Source organism: Homo sapiens, chromosome 1 (genome assembly GCF_000001405.40).
Source record: "Homo sapiens chromosome 1, GRCh38.p14 Primary Assembly".
NCBI lineage: Eukaryota > Metazoa > Chordata > Mammalia > Primates > Hominidae > Homo > Homo sapiens.
In genome coordinates, this window is record NC_000001.11 from 227,216,908 (window position 1) to 227,229,261 (window position 12,354).

General features: G+C 37.7%; 1 protein-coding gene across 25 annotated transcripts in view; it reads right to left on the bottom strand.

Annotated features, from left to right (window-relative positions):
• CDC42BPA (CDC42 binding protein kinase alpha) overlaps nt 1-12,354 on the bottom strand; it is a 328,635-nt gene that overhangs the window by 227,050 nt on the left and 89,231 nt on the right. The window contains exon 2 of one of the 25 annotated variants that reach the window (XM_047432346.1): nt 2,356-2,513. The exons of the other annotated variants lie outside the window; for them this stretch is intronic. The gene's annotated coding sequence lies outside the window, so the exon portion shown is untranslated. The remainder of the gene's footprint in view (nt 1-2,355; nt 2,514-12,354) is intronic. 25 annotated transcript variants of the gene reach the window in all.

The following is a 12,354-nucleotide window of genomic DNA, read 5'->3' on the forward strand; positions in this document are numbered from 1 at the left end:
TTTCTGTAAACACTACAGAAATAATCACTAAGTGACAAATGTATACAAATCAGTTCTTAAACACAATGTATTATCATTTGAAGCTACAAACTAGTTACAAATTGCAGTTACAGAATGCTGTAACAGTATTTTATGTTCATTCTTAAGTTACAGGTTGTAGAATACAGAAACAGTTGCCACGGAGTTCTATAAATCTAGTCTTCCTGCATATAGCAAGAATTCATTCACCATATCTCCTCTGTTCCAACCCATTCCAAGCTACTATTACATGGCTCATGTCTGTAATCCCAGCACTTTGGGAAGCCGAGGTGGGTGGATCACCTGAGGTCAGGAGTTCGAGACCAGTCTGGCCAACATAATGAAACCCCATCTCTACTAAAAATACAAAAATTGGCTGGGTGTGGTGGCGGGCGCCTGTAGTCCCAGCTACTAGGGAGGCTGAGGCAGGAGAATTGCTTGAACCCGGGAGACGGAGGTGTGGTGAGCCAAGATCACGCCACTGCACTTCAGCCCGGGCTGAAGTGAGTGAGACTCTGTCTCAAAAAAAAAAAGAAAAGAAAAAAAAGAAAATCTTGCCTGGATTGTCCTACCTGACCTCTCTACTACTTCTGCCCTCTCATCCCACAACCCATCCTCAACACTGAAGCCACAGTTGATCCTCTTGAAATGTAGCTCAGATCATGACACTCCTCTGCTCCACAGCTTCCAATGGTTTCCCATCTGTCTCCAAGTAAAAGTCAAAATCCTTACTATGCCTTATAGGGCCAACATGTTCTGGCCCTCCACCTTCCCTGACCTCGTGCTACTCTCCCCCTGGTTCACTATGCTCCAGCTATAATGATCACCACACTCAATCCCAACTAGCCTTTGCACTTGTTGATCCCTAGGCCTGGAATATTCTAGCCCCACGAAGCCACACAACTTTCTCTCTCACTCCTTCAATGAAATGTCACTTTACCCCTTGACATTTTCTAACCCATTTCTTTGCTTCCCTTTACCATTAGTTGTCATTATTTCATGAACTATGTATTCTATTTAAGTACTTTGTTCATTGTTTGCTTCATTCACTACAATATAAGCTAATGAGGGCAGGGATTTTTTTTTCCTATTTGTTCACTAGTACACACCTAGTAATTGGGAATCTATAGCTACTCAATAAACATTAGCTGAATTAATGATGAATGACTGGTAATCTATGTGGGTGTATATACATGCAAAGTTTACAGCATCAATATTCTCAGCTGCAAGTATACAACTAAACTGACACTAAAACTCAAAAATAAGGTATTATGACAAAAGAGATACAACTGTGTATTTTGTGATTTATTAAACATCTATCAGCTTATTCCAGCTCACTCTGCTCTCTTAACAGGCATCGAAGTCCTGACTTCACAACTTGGCCTTTAATATCTTTTGTCTGTTGCTGCTCATTACTTATTGTCTTTTTCACCTTTTAATTTCCCCTACATATCATCTACTATCATTTATGATTAATAATAATAACAAAAAATAACTCTTATTTATAAAAAGCTTATTCTGTGCCTAGCACTGGGCTAAGCATATTACATATATTACCCCTCATTTAATCCTTACACCAATCTAAAGCAGATTCTACAATCCCCACTTAAATTAGTAAACTAATGTTTGGAGAAGTTAATTAACTTACTCATAGTGACAAAATTAATAAGTAATAGAACCAGAATATGTACCTGGCTGTCTGATAAGAGAGCTAGTATACTTTACTACTCCAAGTACTGAATAGTTATATAAGTACTGAAGAGCTCTTCCCATTCATCATACCTATAATTCTGATACCTATTGACACATGTTAATGGTGATCATTACAAAATGTATAGAAATCACTGTATCTGCATTTTTAAAAACTGTTCTGTGAGCGACCAATTTGTGTTCAAAATATTTATTAAAAATGGGGGAGGGAACTAAATATTATCTTTAATAAGCAAACTAAAAACACTACAAAGAGTTTATTAAACCAGCTAGAGATATCCTTTCTATGGAGACACAATTTATATATTCAGTAGCAATAGTCAAAATACTTTAAAATTGGGACAGCATGGGCATCAACCAATCAGAACAAACACTGGCTATAAAATACAGTATGCCCACACCAGTTTGCCCCTACAGACTGAAGACTAGCACCATCAAAGGTGAATCATGCAATATAACTTCTTACTCTCCCATGAATGCCAGGAGGGCCAAAGTAAAAGATCTTTTAAAGAAGAATGAATGGCTAAAGGTAATTCTCCTTTCAGACCCTAGAACTGGATTATGCAGACACGTAAGGGCCTAGTTATAGTAATTAGAGGAAGCAAGCTAATTAAAAGCTTTTGACACCTGAAGCAGGGGTAGCAGGCCAAAGCAGCAAGCTTTCACAACAAGCTCTGAAGCCCAGAAGCCTTGAAGCTGCCGGAGCAAGGCTGGAGCAGGCAGAAGCGGTGAGCCACCAGGAAACTGTTGACAGGCAACACCCAGGGCGTAAGTTAAAGGTTTTCCTGAAAGCAAAAAGGAAAACCCAGCGTTAAGTTAAGCAGTAACTAACACAATTGAGTTGTAGAGAGAAGGTTCGTAACTCACTGAGCTGCTGAATTTCAATTATATCTTGCTCACTGTTTCCCATGATTTATGCATTTCTTATAAGAGTTACATAAATGATGCGTTTATTTTCATGTTTTTTTTTAAGAAAGAGCATAACTGATAGAAATGCTCCTATCAAATATTCATGCAGAGGTGAGCCTACCCACTGGGCCTATATATCTATTGACAAATTCCTGGTAGAAGACAAAACATCTTGGAGGAAATGATTATCTCTCTAGGGTCTCTTCATTTCTAAACCTACTAGTTCATAAACACTACAGGGTATGTAAGCCCAGCAGAGATATTTTCATCAGGAATGAATAAGCAGTAAAGCTCATAATCCAGCCAATACTACCTTTCTATACAAAATCAATTCTGTCTTGAAATAACAGAGTTAATTACCAGCAACCTGTTGCTTTTATTTTACATATTTTAATCAGTACACACATACAGCAAGAACACACCAAAAAAAAATTTAAAAAGACACCTCACACTAAATCTCAAATATTATCAGTCATGCGTCAAGTGCTCTGACTTGATCCTGGAGGTTTAAATGGCACTGACCTGTGACCAGGCAGGACTTGACAGACTGCTGGACTGCTCTCTGCTGCCACCAACTCCCCAGCCCTGTACCCCATTCTTTAATTCTTCCAAGTATCAGGACAGTAGAGCAAATTTGGCTGTCCTTAAGTAACTGCCTTACATATCCTAATGAGCAACTACAAGTAATTTTTCAAATCCCTTTTTTTCTTCAGTCTCTTTAATGAAAAAAAGTCATGTTATATATATATATATATATATATATATATACACACACACACACACATACATATATGGATATATATAAAATAAGGTTATATATAAGGAAATATATATTATGTAAGGAATAATATATATAAGAATATATATATACTTTGTCTTTTTATTATTGCTTTTTATTTCCATAGCTCAATCTCAGCTGAACCCTCAAATCTACCTGCAGTCCTAACATTAATTCTATCACTCTCAACAGAACTTTACTAATCTTCCAAAATGTCCTGTGCCACCCTGCCACCACAAACTATCCCATTCCTGTCCTATCTACTCTTCACCAGCAATTAATGACCTGGTTGCCTACTTTATAGATAACAGACCTTTTACATTCCCTCATGCCAACTCTAAATGTTTTTGCGCTTCATACCTCTTTTCCTTTTGAACCCTACCACTTTTCAGGGCTAACAGTATCATTTGACATCTTGATCCCAAACCCTCTCCTTCCTTCCCTTCCTGTCCTTATTCCATTAAAAATTTCTTTCCTGCTTTCAATCCCCCTTTCTCCTGGATATCAATTGAAAAACTTTTCCAAGACCATTCCCCATCCAAGAACAAAAATATGAACAAAAACGTCACCCCCATTTTACCTTTTCCTCAAGGAACTGATACCACATCCCTTTCCACAACACATTTCTCCAAAAAGCACATTTTGAAAGAGTAGTACATGCTTGCTTTTTCCACTTGCTCATCATTTGTTTGCTTCTCAACCTCTTTCAAACACCTATTTCAATCTAATTTCTATTTCACTCTACTAGACTGAAACTATTCTCTCAAAGTTCAATAACAACTGTCTAATTTCCAAATAAATTGTTCTCAATTCTCATCTGCTTTACCCTTTCTTCATTACTGGACACTGCTGACAATTAATATACTTCTCTAATCTTTCTTTTGCTGTAACCTGTTAAATATTGTTCCCCAAGGATCTCTACTCCACCTTTTTTACATCTCCTCTCCTTCCTGACTTATATTATCTATTCCAAAGCCTCAGTTAATACCAATATGCTGGCAACTCCTAAATCCCTATCTCTTACTATCTATACCCTTATTTGTAGTTGCCTACTGGTCATCTCTCTAGCATGTTCAGCAAATGTCTTAAATTTAAGAAGTCAACAATCTGTATACCAAACTCACTCAAGTTGCAAATCTCATCATCTATAAATTACATACCTTTAACTTATCACTAACATCCAAAGTTGACTTTTTTGAATGTTTCTCCCACCCACCCTCCCTTCCCACTACCCCTGGCCTAGTTCAAGACCTCATTATTTCAACAGAAAAATAATAGGCTTTTTTTTTTTTTTACCACATTACTATATGCTATACATTATGCTAACTGCTGAGAACACAAAGCTGAATAAAAAGTTTGTTGGGCTCAGAAAACAATACTCCAAAATGAAGGACTCAGCTGCATTAGACACAGAAGTTTTTCTTTGACCTTCTCCTGCTCTGTCTCTCAGTCCCATTCTCCCCCAAGGTAAGCCATAGAAACTAGAATCCCTCTTCTCTAGGTCACAGAAACTAGAACTCCCTTTCCTCAAAGCCAGCCATAAAACCTAAAAATATTACTCTAGTTTTCCCTCAGCCTTTTGGTATAAAAACTGGCTACAAAGAAATTATTGCCAGCCATGGTGGCTCATGCTTATAATCTCAGCACTTTGGGAGGCTGCAGAGGGAAGATTACTTGAGCCCAGGAGTTTGAGACCAGCCAGAGCAACATAGGAAGACCCTATCTCTACCAAAAAAAAAAAAAAAAAAAAAAAAAAATTAATTAGTCAGGGATAGTGGTGCATGCCTGTGATCCCAGCTACTTGGGAGGCTGAGATGGGAGCTTGGTCAAGACTGCAGTGAGCTGTGATTGCACCACTGCACTCCAGCCTGGGTGACAGAATGAGACCTTGTCTTTAAAAAAATAGCTGGGCACGGTGGCTCATGCCTGTAATCCCAGCACTTTGGGAGGCCAAGGAAGGCGGATCACTTAAAGTTAGGAGTTTGAGACCAGCCTGGCCAACTTGATGAAACCCCATCTCTACTGAAAATACAAAAAAATTAGGCAGGCACCTGTAGTCCCAGCTACTCGTGTGGCTGAGGCATGAGGAAGGCTTGAACCCGGGAGGCTGAGGTTGCAGTGAGCCAAGACCACGCCACTGCACTCCAGCCTGGGGGACACAGCGAGACTCTGTCTCAAACAAAGAAACAACAACAACAAAAAAACTATCAGATTTTACCTGTTTCATTGTAGGTCATCACACCCCCGTTCCAGAGAGGGTCCTGCCCCATACCTGGAAGGAAGGAATGCTGCACAGAGAGGCCAAGAAGACTTTAGACACACAGGCCTTGCTGGGTTTCCCCACTCAGTCTGTTAGCATTAGATCATACCCTTTTTCTTCTCCAATCACATTTCTACACAGCTGTCTATACTTTATTGAACCTAAGTATAAGAATGGGCAATTTCCCCTGTATTTTGGGGTCATCATACAGGTTCCCGCGGATACATGTTAAATAAATTTGTATGCCTTTTCTCCTATTAATCTGCCTTGTGCATGTTCATTTTTCAGCAAACTTTCAGAGAGCCAAAGGTTGGACCAATAACAAGGGCTGGACCCTTGGCCCCCACAAGTTCCTGCCCCCCAAATTCTCACAGTCCATTGTGCAAAACACACCTAAACAGTAGTACACAGACAGTACCATAACAGTACTACAGGGAAAGGAGAGATAAAAATCAGGGTCCTATAAAAAGTAAAGAAGAGAGATCCTTGACCCCAAAGTGGGAGTAGAGGAGGAAAGTGTATAGTATGTGAATACGTATGTTAAAAGTTTTTTTAAATGAAGTGGCTGACACCTGAGTCTTACACAGTGAACTCCAGAAAAAAGGGGACTGAAATGGATGTGACTGAGGATGGGATAGTTTGGGAAGTAGGGACAGCATAAGCAAGGCACACAGGCAGGAAATATTTGTGGGGGAGAAGATACACAGGACAATAAGCAGCTTCCTTTCCTAGGAACATAAAGAGCACAACAGGGAGTAGCAAGAAATGGTGCTGAAGGGTCCAAAGAGCAGAGAAGCTGTATGTCATGTTAATAAACTAGAACCTTAAAAATACAGATAACAGGGGAACCATTCTGCGCAGATAGTTTTAGCTAGATCACTCTAGCAGCTCTGTGGAGAATGGTTTTAAGGCAGGGAAAGACATTGGAAAGTTATAGCAGTAATTGAGGTGAGAGGATCTAACTAAGAAAAAGAGGAAGAAACTGAAGAAATACTGAGTCAGTGACTGGTGAGATATGGAGACTAGAGAGTGAGAAATCTAGCACCTCCCTTTGTCCCCTTCTCTAACCAATCCTTGCTCAGCACTATCACTATTACCTTTCTAGAAGAGTTCTAACTATACCACTACAGATGATGTCCAACTTACAATAGTTCAACTGATGATTTTTCAATTTTTCAACTTTACAGATGGTGCAAAAACAACATGAATTCAATAGAAAGCCATATGAGACTCTTTCAGGATGCTGGTCAGTTGCAGCGAGCCACAGCTCTCACGCAGTCATGAGGGCAAACAACCGACACTCTACACTGTACAGTATTGCTAGATGATTGTGCCCCACTGTAGGCTAATAACATAAGTGTTCTGAGCACGTTTAAGGTAGGCTAGGCTACGGTAGGTAGGCTATGATGGTTAGGTATATTAAATGCATCTTCAAGACTTATTTTTAATTTACAGTGGGTTCACTGGGACATAACACTTTCAAAAGACAGGTGGCATCTGTACTCTGCTTTTTTGTATTTTGTTTTTATTTATTTTATGAAGTTTTTGTATTCTGCTTATTAATAGTTTATAGGACTCCAATTCCTGCAGAATAAAGGTCCTTAGCATAGCATACCAAGCCATTCACTGCTTTGCCCAAGTGATGTTTCTTCCTTTTTTTTTTTTTTTGAGATGGAGTTTCGCTCTTGTTGCCCAGGCTGGAGTGCAATGGTGCAGTCTCAGCTCACTGCAACCTCTGCCTCTCAGGTTCAAGCAATTCTCCTGCCTCAGCCTCCCAAGTAGCTGGGATTACAGGTGCGTGCCACCACCCCGGCTAATTTTGTATGTTTAGTAGAGATGGGGTTTCATCATGTTGGCTAGGCTGGTCTCGAACTCCTGACCTCAGGTGATGCGCCCACTTCGGCCTCCCAAAGTGCTGGGATTAGAGGTGTAGCCACCACACCCAGCTGTGACCTTTCAAGCCTCATCTTTCACCACCACCAACAAAAACCTTATATTCCAGTTAGAAGACTGCTCACTGCTCTCTGAATAAATAGAAATGTACTTAAAAGAAAAAAAATAACTCTTTTAATCCTAATATGTTATAGAAAATTTATAAAATTAAAGTGTAAAGAAAAATAGCCACAGGTAACATTATTGTGGATTAGAAAACTAATTTGAAATCATACAACCTTTTCTATGTCTTTTCAACTGGCAAGTCCTCTTCTAGAAATTTATTCTTAGAAAATCATTTGAAGTGTAGTGAAAGCATTAGGTACAAAAACGTTTTATAAGGCATTTATAATATGGAAAAAATAGAGCACATTCTTTCACTCATGCTACAAATACATATTGAGCACCTACTACGCACTAGACACTGTTGTAGGTACTGGGAAACTGCAATGAGCTAACAGAGGGAAAAAAAATCTTTATATTCATGGAGCACACATTCTAGCTTAACAATAAGGAAATGGTTAAGTAAATTATCAAATATCCACATAATGGACTTCTTTGGGGCCATAAGAAATCAGATTTACAAAGAAATATTTCAATACATGGGAAAAAGACTAAATATTTGGTAAGAAAAGTTCATTATATTAATGTTTATAAAACTACATCAATTTTGTTACCTGTGAATAGAAATAAAATTGGAAAAATATCCCTCAAATTACAGAAGTGGGTATCAATCCTGTGTACCTCTCCCCCTTGCTGATTAAACTGCAACCCTACTCAAGGGCATGTAAATTACTGGATTACAGTAGATGATTAATAAGTATTATTTTCATTAGTCAAAAGAGGGAAGCATGAAAGAAAAAAAGAACTCCATTTTCCTGTTTTTAGCCCTTGATTTAAAAAATTACATTTAAAAGCACTGTTCTAAGTAGGGAATAAAACAAATAAGAGAAATTCACTCCCTGGCCTCACAGAGATTGCACTTTATTGGTGAACACAAACATTAAACACATAAATAAGGAATTTAATAGTTGTTAAGTATAAATACCAGGAAGAAGTTGTATAGGTGTTCTCATCTCCCCATTAGAACAATAAAAGTATTTTATATCTTTATTCCCATTTTCATAAACTCATTCATCTCCTGACTTTATTCTTGTATTCAGTTCCTTCACTGATTTCTTTCTGCCGCAATTCTTTCACTGATTTCCAAATATGGGATAATTTTAAAGAAGCAATTGGTCATGACAAATACATTTAGTGAAGCAGGGAATACCTCTGATTTCCTTGAAAACACAATGACTAGTACTAGTGGCCTTAAATATAATGCATTAGTCATTTCAAAGTATCTGAAGGAACTGTATCAAAGGAGATGAGTGCTTGGGCAAAGCATGCTGCTCTACTTCCCTTTTCTGTAAAATTTATCCTGCTACCTTTTTCTTCCTAGAGTTCAAGTTACGAGTATGTGGAAACACCCTGCCTCACAAGCAAGAGAGGCTCCACCCTCTCTCTTGATTCAAGAGGCAAATGTTGAAAAACAAAAATGAGTAATTCCCTTTCACTTCACTTCTGTCCTTGTAATAAACTCAAATGGATTAGGACTCAAGATCTGTCCTCTTGCAATTGGCCTGGATGCCCATATTTCAATACTGTTCTCTGTTCCACTAGCCAATTGGTTTGTAAGGCTGGCTGGAAACCTTAAGTCAGCTAGCTGGATACATATACTTGGAGTCTACTCCGAGATTCCAAGTCAGAACCCAACTTTGCATTTAGGAGAAAATAATTGGAAATCTCCAGTTTGGCTCCAGGTTTAAGTCTTGATCTCTTTTAACAGAAAATCCGGTAATTTTGAACCTGATCTAGCTCTAGTATACTAGTTAAAACCCAGAAGCAAAGAGAAGAGGTTTGAACCTCACCTCCTTACAGCTCAAACAGGATGCAATTATATCATAGTCCATAGATGGAAAGTATCAAAACTTCCAGGATCTATGGTACAAGGAATGAAGACTTTCATCAATGACATGTAGAGGCAGAAACAGGAAAGATTTGAAGTTCTCAAAGGACAGAAACACTGAAGCAGTATAAAGAACCTCAGCTGCGAAGACCAGCCAAGAAATATTCAGTTACTGAAGAATAAGAGCCAGGAACATTGACTTTTGTTGATGTTTTCTTTTTAAGTTAGTATTTAAATAGTCTAAATAGAGTCTGTTTTGAGATGGCAAACTAGACTCATTTACTTCCCTCCCACCTTCAAGCTCATGAGATGACAGACAATATAAGTTGTCAAAAATAAACCATAATAAACTGGAAAGTAGTAAGAGTAACATCAGCTGATTAGATATTTTAAAGAATTCCTGAAATCTAAGGATGAACAGAATAGGGTTAGATGGAGAGAAAAGAAAATGGAGAAACTACACTGCAGAATAAAATTAATGCACAGGTAAGAGCAATTACATAGAGAGTTAAAGCTGAAAATAAAAACTCAAGGAGTCAAGAGAGCTAATAGGGAAACTCAATGTACAGACTCCCAATTTTATTATTTTTGGTAGAAGACACAATTGCATAACTAAAAAAGTATAAAATAAACAAAAAGGAAACTACTAGAAACAAGGTAATTTGTTAAGGTAGCTGGTAACAAAGGTAATTAATATTAATGAAGTAGGATATATAAACAAATGCCTTTCATATTTTTCAAGAAAAAGAAAGAAAAAAACATAGTAGAAAATATCCCGTCAACAGCTACTAAAAAAATCTAGTAAGGAACGTAAGAAACAAGTAAAAAGTTTATAAAACTGGCCATCTCTCTTCTCTGAACTTATAAATCACATTGTAATCCAAAGAGGACTGGACTTCAATTCTCCTTTCATCTGTAAATTTCAAATTATCCCAATGAAAATAACACTTTTTTAAGCAGACAAGTTGAGACTAACATTCATATGAAAAAACAAAAACTTCAACTTCTGTCAGTATGGAAGATCAGATACATTGAATTACTTTCCTATATATCATAAATGTGAGAAACTGTTAAAATAACCATTTAAATACATTTCTGAGTGAGATGAAAGAAACTGGCATGGCATCAAAATTAAGTGCATCTAAGAATACTAATGGATATCCAGGCATCATAGCTGGCCTTCACTCTGATGCTTTCTGCCAAACTTTGGAGACTTTGAATTTTCCCTCTGGTGACCATAAAACTGGTAAAGACAGGAAATAAAGGTTAGACAAGATAGAAGGCGGAAATCTAACACGGGACCATATACAAAAACTGTGTCCTAAAACTAAGTGGATTTACAATAGTTACAGGATACAAGGTCCATATTAAAAAAAAATCAACTGCATGTCTATACACTAGTAAATGATAAATGTTCCATGTGTACTGAACAAGAAACAAGTAGTCATCAGTGATTCAGTATAATGTTCTATGTCAATTATGTTGAGGTTGTTCATATCCTTTATCCATTACTGATTCTTGTCTACTTGTTCTATTGGCTAACAGGAACAGAAAACCAAACACTGCATGTTCTCACTTATAAGTGGGAGCTGAAAAATGAGAACACATGGACTCAGGGAGGGGAACAACACACAGTGAGGCCTATGGGGTGGGGAGGTGGGGGCAGGCCGGGAGAGGGAGACCAGCAGGATAAACAGCTAATGCATGTGGAGCTTAATCACCTAGGTGATGGGTTGACAGGAGCAGCAAACCATCATAGCACGTTTACCTATGTAACAAACCTACAGATATTTCATATAAATGGAATCATACAATATGTGGCTTTTTGTTCTGACTTCTTTCACTCACCATGTTTTCAAGGCTCATTCATATTGTAGCATGTATCAGTACTTCTTCATTCCTGTGTGGCTAGATAATATTCCATCATACAGATATACCACATTTTGTTTATGCATTCATCAGTTGATGGACATTTGAAGTGTTTCCACTTCCTAGCTATTATGATTAAGGGTGCTATGAACATTCATATACAAGTTTTTGTGTGTACCTACATTTTCAATTCTCTTGCGTTTGTACACATGTCGGAGTAGAATTGCTGGATCATATGGTAATTCTATGTTTAACATTTTGAGGAACTCTCTAATTTCTTTACAAAGTGGTTACACTATTTTACATTCTACCAGCAATGCATAAGCTTTCCAATTTCCCTATATCTTCATCAATACTTGTTACTGTCTTGCCTATTACAGCCATCTCAGTGGGTGAGAAGGGGTATCTCACTGTAGTTTTGACTTGCATTTCTCTAATGACCAGTGATGTTGAGCATCTTTTCATGTACATATTGTCCATATGTATAACTTCTTTGGAGAAACAGCTATCCAAATCACTCATCAATTTTTAAATTAGGTTGTGCTTTTATTGCTGAGTTGCAGAGTTCTTTTAACACAGACACTGGGCCCTCATCAGATACATGATTTGCAAATATTTTCTCCCACCCTGTGAGTTGTCTTTTTCCTTCCCTGATGGTGTTTTTTGGAGGCACAAAAGTTTTAAACTCTGATGAAATCTTATTTTTTGTTTTTTCTTTGATGCCTGAGATTTCGTGTCATATTTAAGAACCATTGCCTAAGCCAAGGTCACAAAAATTTACACCTATGTTTCCTTCTAAGAGTTTCATAGTTTTATCTGTTACATTTATGTCTATGATCTATATTGAGTTAATTTTTGAATATGGTATGAAGTAGAGTCCAACTTCATTCTTTCACATGTGGATATCCAGTTGCCCCACACTGTTGG